Source organism: Homo sapiens, chromosome X, assembly GCF_000001405.40.
Source record: "Homo sapiens chromosome X, GRCh38.p14 Primary Assembly".
Classification (NCBI taxonomy): Eukaryota; Metazoa; Chordata; class Mammalia; order Primates; family Hominidae; genus Homo; species Homo sapiens.
In genome coordinates this window covers 101,012,095-101,031,153 of record NC_000023.11, presented here as the reverse complement: position 1 = coordinate 101,031,153, position 19,059 = coordinate 101,012,095, and the positions used below count along the sequence as shown (strand labels likewise).

Below are 19,059 nucleotides of genomic sequence, written 5' to 3'. Positions count from 1 at the left end.
AAAATACAAAAAAATTTAGATGGGGGTGGTGGCACTCACCTGTAGTCCCAGCTCCTTGCAGGGCTGAGACAGGGGGATTGCTTGAACCCAGCAGTTCGAGGCTGCAGTGAGCTGAGATGATGCCACTGCACTCCAAACTGGGCGATAGAGCAAGACCCTGTGTCAAAAAAAAAAAAATAGTGAGGCTTTGACCAGTTAATAGTTCATCTTGAGTGGGTTTACTGATTCTTGGATTTACTGCTGGTGATTGCAGACAAGTCTTCCATGTCTCTGTCTCTTGAGTTATTTTCTCTGAGGTTATTCAGTTCCTATAAAAAATTATATCCAAATCTCCTGCCTGGCTGCTGGCCTTCTGGAATGAGGTATAGAAAGGGGCCCAGATCTCACACCATTAAGAATGCAGACTTATGCTTGGTGTGGTGGCTCACGCCTGTAATCCCAGCACTTTGGGAGCCCAAGGCGGGCGGATCACAAGGTCAGGAGTTTGAGACTAGCCTGACCAACATGGTGAAACCCTATCTCTACTAAAACTACAAAAATTAGCCAGGCACAGTGGCAGGCACCTATAGTCCCAGATTCTCAGGAGGCTGAGGCAGAATCGCTTGAACCCGGGAGGCGGAGGTTGCAATGAGCCGAGTTCGCGCCACTGCACTCCAGCCTGGGTAAAAGAGCGAGACTCCATCTGAAAAAAAAAAAAAAGAATGCAGATCTATATAGGCTTTTCCTGCTTCCATCTTTCTGCCACCATCAATGTGTCCGGTATCTCCAAGTTCTGAACTTTGATGGGTTCAGTTTCTCCTGAGAAAAACATCTTCAGTCTCCTGGTAGAGGAAGATGGAAGTTTTTGGTAGGATGAAGACATTTGCCAGTTTTTGTTTGTTTGTTTGTTTGAGACAAAGTCTCACTCTGTCGCCCAGGCTGGATGGAGTGTAGTGGTGTGATCTTGGCTCACTGCAACCTCCACATCCTGGGTTCAAGCAGTTCTCATGCCTTAGCCTCCCAAGTAGCTGGGACTATAGGCACGTGCCACTGTGCCTAGCTAACTTTTGTATTTTTAGTAGGGACGGGGTTTCACCATGTTGGCCAGGCTGGTCTCAAACTCCTGACCTCAAATGATCTACCCGCCTCAGCCTCCCAAAGTGATGGGATTACAAGTGTGAGCCACTGCACCTGGCCAACATTTGCCAGTTTTGCATCTAGACTTTTTAGCCAAACCCTGAGTTTAGTCATGCATCTTACCCCATCTCAGCTTCCTGCAGTATTTTGCACCTTTAGGTGTGAGCCTTACCAGGATTGTGTAGAGCAGATAAGCCTTTTGACTTATCAGGTCCCCCTCTGTGGTCACTCCAGATGTGGCTTCCTTCACCTTGCTAAGTCACTTGTCACTTCACTCTGCTGTCCATCTTCTGAGATTTTACTGAGTTTGCTTTTCTGTTGTCTTCTCTCCCATTATCTTTGTTCTTTCATTTATTTATTCAACAAGTACTTTTGCACCCCTATAAGTTCAAGGCACTATTCTAGATGCTTAGGATACAGTAATGAAGAAAATAAGTTCCCTTGTGTAATTTAAATTTTAGTTGTGGGGGAGACAGATTTTTTAAAAAATAAGTAAATCATATGATATGTTGAAAGGTGATAAGTGCCATGGGAAAAAATAGAGTAAGGAGGATAAAAAGTTGTGGGGGCTGGAGGAAGTATGGGTTGTAATTTAATTTAATTTAATTTAATTTTAATTATTACTTATTTATGAGAAAGAATCTTGCTCTGTTCTTTCTGAGCAGAAATGAATGAAATGAAATGAAAGATCCTACAGTGCATGGATCAGCCCCCTACAATAAAGCATTTTCTGCCCCCAAATGTCAGTAGTGCTGATGTTGAGAAACCCTGGAATAAGGACTTAAAGGAAGTGAAGGTGTTAGCCATGCAAAGGTCTGAGGGAAAAACATTTTAGGCAAAAGAAAGAGCTATTGCAAAGACCCCAAGATGAGCGTGTGGCTGGCTTTTTGGAGGAATTGACAGTAGACCCAGGCAAATAAGAGGAAGAATAGTAGGAGATGAGGTGAGAGTTAATGGTAGTGACTTTGGCTTTTATTCTGTGTATTAGTCTGTTCTCACATTGCTATAAAGAACTTCCTGAGACTGGGTAATTTATGAAGAAAAGAGGTTTAATTGACTCACAGTTCCACATGCCTGGGAAGCCTCAGGACACACTATCATGGTGGAGGGTGAAGCAAGCACATTTTACTATGGTGAAGCAGGAGAGAGAGAGAAGAAGGGGAATGTGCCACACAGTTAACAAACAACCATATCCTGTGAGAACTCCATCACCAGAACAGCAAGGGGAGGTCCACCCCCATAACTCAATCACCTCCCACCAGGCCACTCCCCCAACATGTGGGGATTACAATTTGAGATAAGATTTGGGTGGGGACATAGAGCCAAACCACATCATTCTGAATGAAATGGGGAACCATCAGAGGTTTTGATGGGGTGAGGGAGGAATGTCATGATATGATTTAATGATCAATCTGGCTGTTGTGTTGAGAATGGATTATTGGTGGGGGCGTGGTTGGATAGAAGCAGGGAGACAAATTGAGAGAAGCTGTGCAGCAGTAATCCAGGTGAGAGATGATGTAGATCGATCAGTGGTAACAGTGGAGATGGATATACATTGAGGGTAGAACAACAGGATTTCCTGATGGATTGAGTGAGAGGTATAAGAGACAGAGAGAAGTGGCTGGGCGCAGTGGCTCACGCCTGTAATTCCAGCACTTTGGGAGGCTGAGGTGGGCAGATCACCTGAGGTCAGGAGTTGGAGACTAGCCTGGCCAACATAGTGAAACCCCATCTCTACTAAAAATAAAAAAATTAGCCGGATGTGGTGGTGGGCACCTGTAATCCCAGCTACTGGGGAGGCTGAGGCAGGGGAATCGCTTGAATCCAGGAGGTGGAGGTTGCTGTGAGCCTAAACCGCGCCACTGCACTCCAGCCTGGGTGGCAAGAGCGACACTCCGTCTCAAAAAAAAAAAAAAAAAAAAAAAGAGCAAGAAGTAAAAAATGGCTCTAACAAGGACATTTTTTGGAGGTAATGAATGTGTTTAGTACCCTTGGCTGGTGGGGGTTGGTATCCCAAGTATATGTATATGTCCAGGCTCATCAAAATGTATACATAAAAACAGGTGCAAATTTTATATGTCAGTTATACCTTAATATAAAAAAAAAGCCCCAGGTGTTTTGTGTAGAGCAAGTGGAAGGATGAAGTTACTGTCAACTGAGACTGGAAAGACTGGTAGAGCAGATTTGGGTTGGAGGAGATGAGTAGTTCAGTTTTGGTCATGTTGTATTTGAGGTGCCTATTGAACATCTGAATGGGTATGTTAAGTAGTTGGATATATTCGACTGGGGTTCAAGAGAGAGAAATCCAGGAGTTGTTAGCATGTAGATGTCATTTAAAATTATGAGGCTGGCAAGAGATCACCAAGGGAGTGAGAGTAGATAGAAAAGTGAAGAGGAACAGGGACCAATCCCTGGGGCACTCTCATTTTAAGAGGTTTGGAAGAAGAGGAAGAACCAGTAAAGGAGACTGAAGGAACGGTCAGTGAGGTTGTAAGAAACAGGAGTCCGTGGCTCACGCCTGTAATCCCAGCACTTTGGGAGGCCAAGGTGGGCGGATCACAAGGTCAGGAGATCAAGACCAGCCTGACCAATATGGTTAAACCCTGTCTCTACTAAAAAAAAAAAAAAAAATGCAAAAATTAGCTGGGCTTGTTGGCGTGCGCCTGTAGTCCCAGCTACTCAGAAGGCTGAGGCATTAGAATCGCTTGAACCCGGGAGGCGGAGGTTGCAGTGAACCGAGATCGCGCCACTGCACTCCAACCTGGCGACAGAGTGAGACTCCATCTCAAAAAAAAAAAAAAGAAAGAAACTGGAGTAAGGTTTCCCTGGGAGCCAGAGGAAGAAAGTAAACAGAGAAGGAGTGGCTTATCACCTGTGCCCAATGCTTGCCGATAGGTCAAGGAAGTGAGGACTTAGAGTGGACCATTGGATTTCATAACAAGGAGGTTGGGGGTGACCTTAATGTGTACTGTTTTCGCGGAGTAGTGGTGACTTGATTCAGATGGGTGAGTAGAAGGAGAAGAATGGGAGGCAGTGAATAGGTTCAGTTCTTGTGATTAGTTTTACGACAAAGAGGAGCAGAGTTGGGGAATATAGGGTCAAGAAGATTCCTTTTTTATTCTGCTTAAAATGGGAGAGTAAAAGCAATCTGATAGTATATTGATGGGAATGATCCAGTACTGAGCGAAGGCAATGATGGTGCAGGAGAGAGAAGGGAGAATTGTTGGAAACAATGAACCTAAATAAGCTTATGCCTTTTTAATTCCTTTGTTTCATTTTAGTAGGATTTTCACTTAGTAGGATTTTTAGGTGGAATATTCTGTTATTTTAGGTGGAATATTCTGTTATTTTAACCAGAAGTTCCCTTTAATCTTAATACTTACTTAAGCATTCCCATATAAGAACAGGAGTTTCAGTTTCCATCTTACAGTGAAGAAACCAAGACCCTAGGTCATACAGTGGAGAAGCTGCATTTCATATTTACCCATTATCTTTTAGGTCAAGCTCAGTTTTTCAATTACCATCCTTCCAGAACCTATATGACTTTTTTTTTTTTTTTTTTGAGACGGAGTTTTGCTCTGTCACCCAGGCTGGAGTGCTGTGGTGTGATCTCGGCTCACTGCAACTTCTGCCTCCTGCGTTCCAGCGATTCTCCTGCTCAGCCTCCTAAGTAGCTGAGATTACAGGTGTGTGCCACCACGCCTGGCTAATTTTTGTACTTTTAGTAGAGATGGAGTTTTACCATGTTGCCCGGGCTGGTCTCAAACTCCTGACCTCAGGTGATCCACCTACCTGCCTTGGCCTCCCAGAATACTGGGATTATAGGCGAGAGACACTGCACCAGGCTTTATATGATATTTGAATCTTGCTTCCAAAAAGCATTTCTTTCTAACCAGCCAGTAAACAACAGTTGAACTAGTCAGAATTTCTTTCTTCCTTCCTCTCTTTTTTTCTTTCTTTCCTTCCTTCCTTCCTCCCTCCCTCCCTCCCTTCCTTCCTCCCTCCCTTCTGTCCTTCTCTCTCTTTCTGTCTCTCTTTCTTTCCCTCCCTCCCTTTCTTCTTCTTTCTTTCTTTCTTTTCTTTCTCTTTTGATGGAGTCTCACTCTCGCCTAGGCTGGAGTGCAGTGGCACAATCTCAGCTCACTACAACCTCCAGGTTCAAGCGATTCTTCTGCCTCAGCCTCCCAAGTAGCTGGGATTACAGGTGCCCGCCACCATGTCTGGCAAAATTTTGTATTTTTAGTAGAGACGGGGTTTTGCCATGTTGGTCAGGCTGGTCTTGAACCCCTGACCTCAAATGATCTGCCCACCTCGGCCTCTCAAAGTGCTGGAATTACAGGTGGGAGGGATCACGCCCAGTGGAACTAGGCTTTCTTTAAATCACCAACCTTAAAATTTGAAAACTATGTTGAGTAAAAATCAAGGACATCTTATATGAAATTATAGCAAAAGTGATCAAGTACAACCTTAATTGATCTTACCTCTCAGGTAGCACTGTTTTTTTGTATAATTCCCCCCTTTACTACATAATTTGTGGTTTGTTTGAGAACCCAGTGGACCCAGAACACATGCATTATGAGAACAAAAGGACCTAGTAAATCAGATGGTGTTTCCTGTTATGGCAGCAATTGGCTTTAAGGATTTTTGAGATCACAACAACTAAATCAGGATTGCATTTGACTTGTATATACCAGGAGGAAATGGAGGATCTGACTAAGCCATAATATAGTTGGTACCAGGTTATATGAAAAAATATAGAAATGATGTGCTTATATCAGGACATTAAAAGTAAGAGTGGAATCATAGCAGCTTAGTAATACATTAGGAATTCACAGAAAGGGAAGATTATTTTCCATAAATAAACTGAAGTTCTAAATAAGAATACCTTTCCTGTTCAGTCATTCATAAAATTTTTCAATAATATTTATTGAACACATATGTCAGACTAAGGAAACAACTCTAGCTCCATGGAGCTTACAGTTCAAGATATAATTGATAGCATCCTCTGTAAAGTTACAGGGCAGGGATCATGATTCTTTTTTTTTTTTCCGAGACACAGGTTGCCCAGGTTGGAGTGCAGTGGTAAGATCTCGGCTCACTGCAGCCTTGACCACCTGGGCTCAGGCGATCCTCCCACCCCACCTTCTTGAGTAGCTGGGGCTACAGGCGTGTGTCACCATGCCTGGCTAATTTTGTTGTTGTTGTTGCTGTTTTTTTGAGATAGAGTCTCACTCTGTTGCCCAGGCTGGAGTGCAGTGGTGCGATCTTGGCTCACTGCAACCCGCCTCCTGGGTTCAAGCAATTCTCCTGCCTCAGCCTCCCAAGTAGCTGAGATTACAGGTGCCTGCCCTGATGCCCGGCTAAATTTTGTATTTTTAGTAGAGACGGGGTTGCCATGTTGGCCCAGCTGGTCTCGAACTCCTGACCTCAAAGTGATCCACCCGCCTTGGCCTCCCAAAGTGCTGGGAATATAGGCTTGAGCCACTGCACCCGGCCTAATTTTTTTTATTTTTTGTAGACAGGCCATGTTGCCCAGGTGGTCTTGAACTCCTGGACATAAGCAATCCTCCCACGTTGGCCTCCCAAAGTGCTAGGATTACAGGTTTGAGCCACTGTGCCCAGTCAATCATGTTTCTTATATCACTGTATTTGTCTGCAAGGGCTGCCATTACAAAATACGGCAGACTGAGTGGCTTAACAGAAGTTTATTTCCTCCTTGTCTGGAAGCTAGCAAGTCTAAGATCAGAGTCTCCACTGATTTGGTTTCTGCTGAGACCTCCCTCCTCGGCTTGCATAGACACCTTCTTGCTGTGTCCACACATGGTCTTTTTCTTTGTGCACCCAACCTTGGTGTCTCTGTGTGTCCACATTTTCTCTTATAAGGACAGCAGGCATGGTGCGGTGGCTCACGGCTGTAATCCCAGCACTTTAGGAGGCCGAGGCAGGAGGATCACCTGAAGTCAGGAGTTTGTGACCAGCCTGGCCAACATGGTGAAACCTCGTGTCTACTAAAAATACAAAAATTAGCCAGGCTTGGTGGTGGGCATCTGTGATCCCAGCTACTCAGGAGGCTGAGGCAGGAGAATTGCTTGAACCCGGGTGGCGGAGGTTGCAGTGAGCCGAGATCATGCCACTGCACTCCAGCCTAGGTGACAGAGTGAGACTCCGTCTGAAAAATAAAAAATAAAAAAAGGACATCAGTGAGATTGGATTAAGGCCTGCCTTAACTGCCTCATTTTAAGTAAATCACCTCTTTAAAGGCCCTGTCTCAAAGTATAGACACATTTTGAGTACTGGTGGTTAAGGCTTCAACATAGGAATTTTTGGGGGACACAATGTAACACAAACAATCACCTAGCATGAGTAAACAGCTGTGAAACTTGCTAGTTTTGCTTGTGTAATAATTCGGTTCTCTTCCTAGTACTATGAAGTATTCCTTCGACAGTCTCCATTGGAGCCCTGCCTTGTATTTCATGAAGGTGGATACTGGCGTGAGCTCACAGTCCGCACCAATAGCCAAGGGCACACAATGGCTATCATCACTTTCCATCCCCAGAAATTAAGTCAGGTGAGCCTCACAAGATGTTAAGCAACCTTAACTTTTACTACTACTAACTATAACTGTAATTGGTTTTTTGGAAGTTTCAGGGCATATAGCAGAAACAGTACATCCACAGAATATTTGTGTCAATTGGGGAGAGGGGTTAGGGATGAGGAGAAGATGGCAAGGATACTATTTAACCATACTGCTCGCATAATCAAACCACAGAGACTGTGGCTAGGCTGCCAAGTTAATTACCATGTGAGAACTCCCAAGTAATTTCACAAGAACTTTGCCCATGGTAGTAGTTGCTCTTCCAAATCCAAATGCCAATTCAATAGAGACTGCAGTGTCAGAATTTCATAACCCAAATAGTACTTTACATTTGTCATGCACTTGGTGCTTTCAAACATACCTGTGTTAAAACATTCGTATACTTATGTGATCATCTCAACAAACTTGTAAAGTAGGCAGGAGGAAAGATATTGTCACCCTCATTTTACACCTGAGGAAATGGAGGCATAGAAATACCCAAGGTTAAAGAATCAGTAAATAGCAAAGCTAGGATTTGAACCCAGGTCCTTTGATGCCTGATGTTTTTAACCCTATTGTTCCTACATGGTTTATTGCAATATATCCTGGTATCAAGCTAATACTTAGGCTTTCTGTAGTTATGTAAGAATTTTATTTTTTATATTTTGAGACAGTGTCTCACTCTGTTGCCCAGATTGGAGTGCAGTGGTGCAATCAAAGCTCACTGTAGCCTCAAACTGCTGGGCTCAAGCAATCTTCCCACCTCAGCCTCTCAAGTAACTGGGACTACAGGCATACGTCACCACACCTGGCTAATTTTTTTGATTTTTTTTTTTTTTTTTTGAGACAGAGTCTCGCTTCTTCACCCAGGCTGGAGTGCAATGGCATGATCTCAGTTCACTGCAACCTCCGCCTCCCGGGTTCAAGCAATTCTCCTGACTCAGCCTCCCAAGTAGCTGGGATTACAGGCACGTGCCAGCACGCCCGGCTAATTTTTGTATTTTTAGTAGAGATGGGGTTTCACCATGTTGGCCAGGCTGGTCTGGAACTCCTGACCTCAACTGATCTGCCTGTCTTGGCCTTCCAAAGTGCTGGGATTACAGGTGTGAACCGCCGCTCCCGGACTTTTTGATTTCTTGTAGAGACAGGATGTTGCTATGTTGCCTAGGCTTGTCTTACACTCCTGGGCTCAAGCAGTCCTCCTACCTCAGCCTCTCAAAGTGCTGGGATTATAGGCATGAACTATCATGTCTGGCCTGCTTTATGTTAAGTGTTATTTATAATAAGATTTGTGAAATGTCTTCACATCTGACTACTGCAGGGCTGATTACTATAGAGCTTAGAGAGAAAATTTGTCAGAGATGAGTCTTTGCTTAACTGCTAATTTTATGGTCTGGGCAGGAGGAGCTCCATGTTCAGAAGGAGATTGTAAAGGAATTTTTCATCAGAGGTCCTGGAGCAGCCTGTGGCTTGACCTCACTTTACTTCCAGGAAAGGTAAACCTGGGACAGCCAAATAGGCTGATGGCTTGCCAGACTCTTGGTTTATGGATTGCTGATGCAGGGTTGCTGATTGATGGTGGAGGATATTGGCTAAATGGTTCTGGTCCTTGTACACCAGCTGGGTCTTGGAACACAGGCCAGAATGTAGATGTGAGAGTGTCCACATGGACTTTCATCCCCTGAGGGGGAAACCCTTGCAGAGCTCTCAGGGCCACGGCAAGGACTGTGTCTCCTAGCTGAGATGCTGGGGCCTCCCTGTCTACCCAACCACTAGGGATGTGATGGTCTGCCATTTCAAGATGCTTTTTTTTGTTTTGCTTTTTTTTTTTCTTTGAGACCGAGTCTCGCTCTGTTACCCAGGCTGGAGGGCAGTAGCACAATCTTGGCTCACTGCAACCTCTGCCTCCCGAGTTCAAGTGACTCTCCTACCTCAGCCTCCTGAGTAGCTTGGATTACAGGCATGTGCCACCACACCTGGCTAATTTTTGTATTTTCAGTAGAGATGAGATTTCACCATGTTGGCCAGGCTGGTCTCGAACTCCTGACCTTAGGTGATCTGCCCGCCTCGGCCTCCCAAAGTGCTGGGATTACAGGCGTGAGCCACCGCTCACAGCTCAAGATGCTTTCTTCTTTTATTCCTTTCCAGTACCATGACCCGTTGCAGCCATCAGCAGTCTCCCTATCAGCTTCTGTTTGGGGAACCCTACATCTTTGAAGAACTTCTGAGCTTGAAGATCCGCATCTCTCCAGATGCCTTTTTCCAGATTAACACAGCTGGTGCAGAGATGCTGTATCGGACTGTGGGGGAGCTGACTGGAGTGAACTCTGACACCATCCTTCTTGACATCTGCTGTGGAACTGGCAAGTGGAAGCCCAGGGCAGAATCTGCATGCTGCTCAGCTCCCAAGGCCCTTGTAGCTTGCGGAGGTGGTCGGGGAGAGGTAGTGGTAGTGGTGCAGGTATAACCTTGTCGGTCTAAAACCCTACAACTGCAGCCAAGTGTGGTTGCTTATGCCTGTTATCCCAACACTTTGTGAAGCAAGGCAGGAGGATTGGTTGAGCCCAGGAGTTGGAGACTAGCCTGGGCAACATAGTGAGACCCTGTCTCTACAAAAAATTTAAAAATTAGCTGGGCATAGTGGCGTGAACCTGTAGTCTTAGCTACTCAGGGGGCTGAGAGAGGAGGATTGCTTTAGCCCGGGAGGTCGAGGCTGCAGTGAACTGTGATTGTGCCATTGCACTCCAGCCTAGGCTACAGAGTGAGACCCTGTTTAAAACAAACAAACAAACTAAACTAAACTAAACAAAAAACAAACAAACTACCACACCTAAACCCTAAAATGCCTTCTTCTTCTTCTCGTTTACTTCTTCAGGTGTGATTGGCCTCTCTCTGGCTCAGCATACATCTCGGGTCCTTGGGATTGAATTGTTGGAGCAGGCAGTGGAGGATGCAAGATGGACTGCAGCCTTCAATGGTACACAGCTTACAGTCTGTGTAGAAATTAAGGGATGCAGTTGTTTCTGTGCTATGGAAAGAGTTGTGTGGGAAAAGGCAACTACTGTATCCCTGACCCACAGGGAGGAAGGGAGGGAATTCTGGAGGGGTCAGAATGGTTTTCTGAAATAGATCCTCATGGTTTTCTGGAATAGGTACCAATATCTAACTTTTTTCCTATCCAGAAGAGGAACCTAAGGGAAGATACATGTCTAGCTGATAGGAAACAAAGTTGCAAAACTTTGGACAGAATAGAAGAAGAATCTCCTTGGCATTAGACTCACGAGGCCTTATAGCATAATACAATAGGTGTCAAACCTATATTTTCAGCAACAAAACCTTTTCTTCAAACACAGTCTTCTGTCAAACTGCAATATAGAAAATAGATCATCTTGCCCTCACTGCTTCACCTACAGAAAGCTCCTGAGGCATTTGGTGAAAATGTCTGATATAGCAGGAAGAGCACTTGAGCAAAAGTCAAGGTTCTCATCTTGGTATAGGTCCTTGCATGCTATGTGAGTTGTGAAGTTGTAAAATAGCCGGGCATGGTGGCTCATGCCTGTAATTCCAGCACTTTGGGAGGCTGAGGTGGGTGGATCACGAGGTCAGGAGTTCAAGACCAGCCTGGCCAAGATGGTAAAACCCCATCTCTACTAAAAATACAAAATTAGCCGGTCGTGGTGGCAGGCGCCTGTAATCCAAGCTACTCGGGAGGCTGAGGCAGAGAATTGCTTGAACCCGGGAGGTGGAGGTTGCAGTGTGCCGAGATCGCACCACTGCATTCTGGTCTGGGTGACAGAGTGAGACTCTGTCGCAAAAGAAAAAAAAAAAGGTGTAAACACTAGTTGCTCAAGCTGAAAGGCTTACTGAGATATTCCAAGGGAAAGTACTTTGGAAAAAATGAAGTGGGTCTGTCCAAAAGCACTTCTTTCCTTGTTACTTGGAGTGATGCTAGATCCAAAGGGAAGATGGCAGAGCCCTTGGCTCCTGTGCGTTTCTGTGAAGCTGAAGCTTTCCCTTACTGCTGGGCTTGAGTTATGTCCTGTGGGCCTGTCTTCCATAGGCATCACCAACTCTGAATTTCATACTGGTCAAGCAGAGAAGATTTTGCCAGGGCTGCTAAAGTCAAAGGAAGATGGACAGTCAATTGTTGCTGTGGTGAACCCAGCCCGTGCCGGACTGCGTAAGGATGAACAGCTATTTTGATGTTCCCAGTATTGTCCATCAACTTTGGTTCTTCTTTTCCACACCATGCTACGGGTGCTCCCAGTGGGCTGGCTCTGAACCTGTTTCCCCTCTATTTCTAATCAATCCTGAGTTCTGGTCAGTTGGAAGTTTGTGATAACAGAGACCATGGTAGTTAATTATACTAATAGCAAGGTGTTTCTTCCTTCAGATTACAAGGTGATTCAAGCCATTCGAAACTTCAGGGCCATCCACACGCTAGTTTTTGTTTCCTGCAAGCTCCATGGTGAATCCACTAGGAATGTCATTGAGTAAGTCTTGACTTCTGTTTAAAATTTTTTGTTCTGATTATCAAAGCCATTCATGCTTATTGTACACACAATTGGAAAGTGATTTGAGCTTTCAAGTCATTAGAAGTGTAAAGAAACTGAAACAAAAAAAATACCACCTTTAAGACTCAATTACAGGGCTGGGTCAGGGATGAGGCAAGTCAGGTACTTAGTTTGGGTGCAAAATTTAAGAATGTGTCAGCCGGGTGCGGTGGCTCACGCCAGTAATCCTAGCACTTTGGGAGGCCGAGGTGGGTGGATTGCCTGAGCTCAGGAGTTCAAGACCACCCTGGGGAACACAGTGAAACCCCATGTCTACTAAAAAAATATAGAAGATTAGCTGGGCATGGTGGCGTGCGCCTGTAATCCCAGCTACTCGGGTGGTTGAGACAGGAGAATCGCTTGAACCCGGGAGGCAGAGGTTGCAGTGAGCCAAGAGCCAAGATCGCGCCATTGCACTCCAGCCTGGGCGACAGAGAGAGACTCCGTCTCAGAAAAAAAAAAAAAAAAGTGTTAAAAATCTCAGCAATCAAGATATTTTTTGTTTGTTTCTATTCCACTACAGCTTTTTTTAATGGCTAAATTTTTAGTGCAATATTTTCTTTTCTTTTGAGACAGAGTCTCACTCTGTCACCCAGGTTGAGCACAGTGGCACAATCACGGCTCACTGAAGTCTTGACCTCCTGGGGCTCATGAGATCCTCCTGCCTCAGCCTCCCAAGTAGCTGAGACTACAGGTGCACACCACCACACCTGGCTAATTTTTAATTTTTTTTGTAGAGACAAGGTCTCACTATGTTGCCCAGGCTTGTCTCAAACTCCTGGGTGCAGGTGATCCTCCTGCATCGGCCTACCAAAGTGCCTGGCTAATTTTTTTGATTTTTTTATAGAGACGAAGTCTCACTATGTTGCCCAGGCTGGTCTTGAGCTCCTGTGCTCAAGTGATCCTCCTGCCTTGGCCTCCCAAAGTGCTGAGATTACAGGCATGAGCCACCATGTCTGGCCCAATATTTTCAAATATCAAAATTAATCCAAAATAATTCATGATGAACAAAATATTACATTTTTTTAAAAAGGTGGGAAAGGTGGGATCTGCCCTTGTGCTTGTTGAACCCCGCCTCAGTGAGCCTTACCTGAATTCTGGCTTTGGTTCCAATAAAACCTTATAAAAGCAAGTGGCTAGCCTGTAGGCTGCAGTTTTCCAATTTGATATTCTAAAATATTGCATCAAAACATTCAATTACTGAGTTTTTTGGCACCCTATTAAATTTTGCACCCAATGCAAGTGCCTTTCACTTCACTCTAGTTCTGACCCTGGTCAGCTATTTTGATTTTTGAAATCTTTATATTTTGTAATCTTTTTCTCTCTCACTTTTTACTATAAGCAATATAATTTATTTGTAGCATTGAAACAACAGACAGGTATAAAGTACAGATTATATATTTGAATGAAACAAATGAGAATTAAAAATTATGTAATCATTATATGTCAATGTATAAAAAACGAAGTGATTTGAGCTTTCAAGTCATGAGCTAGAAAAAGAACAATAAACCCAAAGGAAACTGAAGGAAGAACTCAATAATGATTTTAAAAATCCATAAATTAATGACTTACAAAACAAAAAAACCTGTAGATTTGATGAGAAAGCGAGAAGGTGTTATTGGAAGAAAAAAATTAAATAAATAAGCCTAATCAACAATATTAAGGGGCAAAACACAAAAATATAGTCTTAAATGAGAAAGAGAGCATAACTACAGATAGGAAGAAATTTTTTTTTTCCTGAGACGGAGTCTTGCTCTGTCGCCCAAGCTGGAGTGCAGTGGTGTGATCATGGCTCACTGCAACCTCCGCCTCCCGAGTTCAAGCAATTCTCCTACCTCAGCCTCCCGAGTAGCTGGAATTACAGGCACGTGCCACATGCCTGGCTAATTTTTGTATTCTTAGTAGAGACAGGGTTTCACCATGTTGGCCAGGCTGGTCTTGAACTTTTGACCTCGTGACCCGCCCACCTTGGCCTCCCAAAGTGCTGGGATTATAGGCATGAGCCACCGTACCCGGCCCGATAGGAAGAAATTTTTTAAAATTAAAAGAAAATATTTCTGGGCACAGTGGCCCAGGCCTGTAATCCCAGCACTTTGGGAAGAGGTGGTGGGCAGATCACCTGAGTAATCCCAGCTGCTCGGGAGGCTGAGGCAGGAGAACTGCTTGAACCCAGGAGGTGGAGGTTGCAGTGAGCTGAGACTGCGCCATTGCACTCCAGCCTGGACAACAAGAGTGAAACTCCGTCTCAAAAAAAAAAAAAAAAAAAAACCACGAAAATTAGCTGGGCGTAGTGGCACATGCCTGTAATCCCAGCTACTTGGCATGAGAATCGCTTGAATCCAGGAGGTCAAGGCTGCAGTAAACTGAAATCACGCCACTGTACTCCAGCCTGGGTGACAGAGTGAGACCCTGTCTCAAAAAAAAAAAAATCAAAATTTAAAAAGATGTTTTGTGCTACAAATACCATTGAGAAAGGTGAAAGACAAGCCACAGAATAGGAGAAACTATTTGCAAATCATTCATAAGGGACTGGTATTCAGAAGCCAGACACAAAAGACCACATATTATATCATTCCATTTATAGGAACTATCTAGAACAGGCAAATCTGTAGACAAAGAAAGTAGATAGGTTGTTGCCTTGGTCTGGGGGTGGGGCTTTGGAGATTAAATGGGGCTTGATTGCTAACGGGTGTTTGGTATCTTCTTCAGCTAATGAAATGTTCTGAAATTGATTGTAGTGATAGATGCATAACTCTGTGAATATACTAAAAACCAGTGAACTGTATGAATGGGTGAGCTGTATGGTGTGTGAATTGTTTTTTTGTTTTGTTTTGTTTTTTTGAGACTGAATCTCACTCCGTCACCCAGGTTGGAGTGCAGTGGCATGATCTTGGCTCACTGCAACCTCCACCTCCCTGGTTCAAGCAATTCTCCTACCTCAGCCTCCCATGTAGCTGGGATTACAGGCACCTGCCACCACGCCTGGCTAATTTTTGTGTTTTTAGTAGAGACAGGGTTTCACCATGTTGGCCAGGCTGGTCTCAAACTCCTGACGTCAGATGATCTGCCCACCTTGGCCTCCCATAGTGTTGGGATTACAGGCTGAGCCACTGTGCCCGGCATGGTATGCAAATTATCTCAATAAGACTATTAAAAAAATCATTAATTTATGCATGATGAAAAGCACTGTAAGCAAAGACAGGAGACAGCATACAAACTGGAAAATAATTTGCAGTTCACATCACAAAGACTTTTTTCCTTAATCTAAGAAACTCCTAGAAATTGGTAAGCTGAGACTGCACCACTGTACTCCAGCAGCCAATAGAAAAATGAACCGAGGATATGAAAAGGCAATATTATAAAGGTATTTACAAAATATGAGAGGACGCTGTCTCTCTCATAATGATAGAAATGCAAATTAGAAGTACCCTGAGGTACTTCTTTTTATACCTCAGATTGACAAAAGTACAAAAGCTTGATAATGCATTATTGGTAATAATATGGGAAAATAATTCTAAAAAATGAGTTGTGTAAATTGAGTACTAACCCTGTGTAAGTTGGTGCTATCCCTATGGATGGAAACTTAGTAATATAGATTAAAATTACAAATGTATATATACCCTTTCACATGGTAATTCCATTCCTGAGGTTTTATCCTGTAGATACTCTCACACACATAAAATGACATATCTACAAAGTTACTCATTGCAATATTTAACAGGAAAAGTTGAAATACTCCCAAAGTCCATTAGTGGGGAACTGGTTAAATCAACTATGCCACATCCATTCAATGAAACACTACACTGCTATAAAAAATGCAGATGTTCTCTATGTTCTGATAATAAGAGATCTCTAAGGTATTTTTTTAAAATAATAGCTTTATTGAGATACAACTCATATATCATACAATTCAACTTTTTTTTTTTCTAAAGAGATGAGGTTTTGCTGTGTTGCTCAGGCTGGCCTTGAACCCTTAGGATCAAGCAGTCCTCCTGTGTCAACCTCCTAGTAGCTGGGACTATGGGCATGTATCACTTTCCCCGCGTACTTCACCCACTTAAAGTGTAGAATTTGGCTGGGTGCAGTGGCTCACACCTGTAATCCCAGCACTTTGGGAGGCTGAGGCGGGCAGATTCCTTGAGCCCAGGAGTTTGAGAACAGCCTGGGCAACATGGTGAAACCCTGTCTCTAGTAAAAATACAAAAATTAGCTGGGTGTAGTAATGTGCCTATAGTCCCAGGTACTTGGGAGGCTGAGATAGGCGGATCGCTTGAGCCTGGTGGGGTCAAGGCTGCATGCAGTGAGCTGTGATCACTCAACTTCACTCCAGCCTGGGCAATAGAGGGAAATCCTGTTTCAATTAAAAAAAAAAAGTCAGTATGTGCATATGGTAGAAAAAATTCAAATAAACCAGACACAGTGGCTCATGCTTATAATCCCAGCTACTCAGGAGGGTGAGTTGGGAAGATCACTTGAGTCTAGTAGTTCAAGGCTGCAGTGAGCTATGATTGTGCCACTGCACTCCAGCCTTAGTGATAGAGTAAGACCCCATCTCTAAAACAGTAAAAAAAAGAGAGAGAAAGAAAATTCAAATAATACAAAAGAATATAGGGTAAAAATGAGTTTCTTACTCCTGACCCCTAGTCTTTCAGATGTCACCACTCTGAGCAGTTTCTTGTGTGGACTACCAGAGATATTCTGTGACACTACAAGCATGAGTGCATGTGTGTGCACACGTACGTGTGTACATACTAGCTCTCCTTTTTTATCAAACAAGTAGAAGCATACTATAAGCACTATTCTATTTGATGCTTTTTTTTGCGGGGGATGGAGTCTTGCTCTGTTGCCCAGGCTGGAGTACAGTGGTGCAATCACAGTTCCCTGCAGCCTTGACCTCCTGGGCTCAAGCAATCCTTCCACCTCAGCCTCCTAAGTAGCTGGGACTATAGGCGTGAGTCACCACACCAGGCTAATTTTTAAAATTTTGTAGAGTCAGGGTCTTACTATGTTATTCCAGCTGGTCTTAAACTCTGGGGCTCAAGCTATCCTCCCACCTCAGCCTCCCAAAGTGTTGGGCTTATAGGCATGAGCCATTGTGCCTGGCCAGCTTTTTATTATGAATGGGATCTTTTCATGACATTTTCTTTTCTTTTTTTTTTTTTTTTTTTGAGACGGAGTCTCATCTTGCTGGAGTGCAGTGGCATGGTCTCGGCTCACTACAGCCTCCACCTCCCAGGTTCAAGCGATTCTCCTGCCTCAGCCTCCTGAGTAGCTGGTATTACAGGTATGCACCACCACGCCCAGCCAATTTTTGTATTTTTAGTACAGACAGGGTTTCACCATGTTGGCCAGGCTGGTCTTGAACTCCTGACCTCAGGTGATCCAACCGCCTTGGCCTCCCAAAGTATTAGGATTACAGGTGTGAGCCACCGCACCCAGCCTTCATGACATTTTCTCATTAGTTATTGCCAATCTGGTATACAGCTACCTTACTCTATTATTAGTTTTATTCATTTTTTAGTTGATTCTCACATTGTTGTGGTAGCTGACCATATGATCACCATGTAAAAATAATTCTGTCCCTCTCCTTCTAATACTCATTTTTTCCTTTTGCTTATTATATTGCATAAGAAAATGTTCCATTGTAGATGTGATAGTGAATATTTTTGTCATGTATTTGATTATAATGGGATAATGCTATTTAAACTACAGTCTTGTGTCGCATAATAACATTTCAGTCAACAATGGACTGAATATATGATGTTGGTGCCATAAGATTATAATGGAGCTGACCGGGCGCGGTGGCTCACGCCTGTAATCCCAGCACTTCGGGAGGCTGAGGTAGGCGGATCACTTGAGGTCAGGAGTTTGAGACCAGCCTGGCCAACGTGGTAAAAGCCCGTCTCTACTAAAATAGAAAAATTAGCTGGGTGTGGTGGTGGTGTGTGCCTGTAATCCCAGCTATTTGGGAGACTGAGGCAGGAAAATCGCTTGAATCCAGGAGGCGGAGGTTGCAGTGAGACAAGACTGTGCCACTGCACTCCAGCCTGGGTGATAGAGTGAGACTCCGTCTCAAAAAAAAAAAAATAATAAATTTCCAATTTCATCCATGTCCCTACAAAGGACATGAACTCATCATTTTTTATGGCTGCGTAGTATTCCATGGTGTATATGTGCCACATTTTCTTAATCCAGTCTATCATTGTTGGACATTTGGGTTGGTTCCAAGTCTTTGCTATTGTGAATAATGCCGCAATAAACATACGTGTGCATGTGTCTTTATAGCAGCATGATTTATCATCATTCTCAGTAAACTATCGCAAGAACAAAAAACCAAACACCGCATATTCTCACTCATAGGTGGGAACTGAACAATGAGAACACATGGACACAGGAAGGGGACCATCACACTCTGGGGACTGTTGTGGGTTGGGGGGAGGGGGGAGGGATAGCATTGGGAGATATACCTAATGCTAGATGATGAGTTAGTGGGGGCAGCGCACCAGCATGGCACATGTATACATATGTAACTAACCTGCACATTGTGCACATGTACCCTAAAACTTAAAGTATAATAATAATAAATGAAAAAAAAATTATAATGGAGCTGAAAAATTCCTATGGCCTAGTGACATCATAGCTGTTGTAACATTTCAGCACATGGGTTACTTACATGTTTGTGGTCATGCTGGTGTAAACAAACTTACTGTGCTGTCAGTAGGTTTGTTTACACCAGCATCACCACTTATAAAATTAAGTACATATAGTTATCTATAGTACATAATACTGGATAATAAAATGACTGTGTTACTGGTT

General features: G+C 43.7%; 1 protein-coding gene across 13 annotated transcripts in view; it reads left to right on the top strand.

The window, feature by feature from the left end:
• The window catches only part of TRMT2B (tRNA methyltransferase 2B), a 78,746-nt gene that overhangs the window by 20,958 nt on the left and 38,729 nt on the right, over positions 1 to 19,059 (top strand). For all 13 annotated transcript variants that reach the window (XR_001755729.3, XM_005262196.3, NM_001167970.2 and 10 more), the window contains 6 exons: positions 7,538 to 7,684; positions 9,092 to 9,186; positions 9,839 to 10,053; positions 10,566 to 10,667; positions 11,751 to 11,870; positions 12,084 to 12,183. Coding sequence is in view for 12 of the 13 variants with exons in the window: in XM_005262196.3 (XP_005262253.1) it covers positions 7,538 to 7,684; positions 9,092 to 9,186; positions 9,839 to 10,053; positions 10,566 to 10,667; positions 11,751 to 11,870; positions 12,084 to 12,183 (779 nt within the window). In the remaining variant the exon portion in view is untranslated. The remainder of the gene's footprint in view (positions 1 to 7,537; positions 7,685 to 9,091; positions 9,187 to 9,838; positions 10,054 to 10,565; positions 10,668 to 11,750; positions 11,871 to 12,083; positions 12,184 to 19,059) is intronic.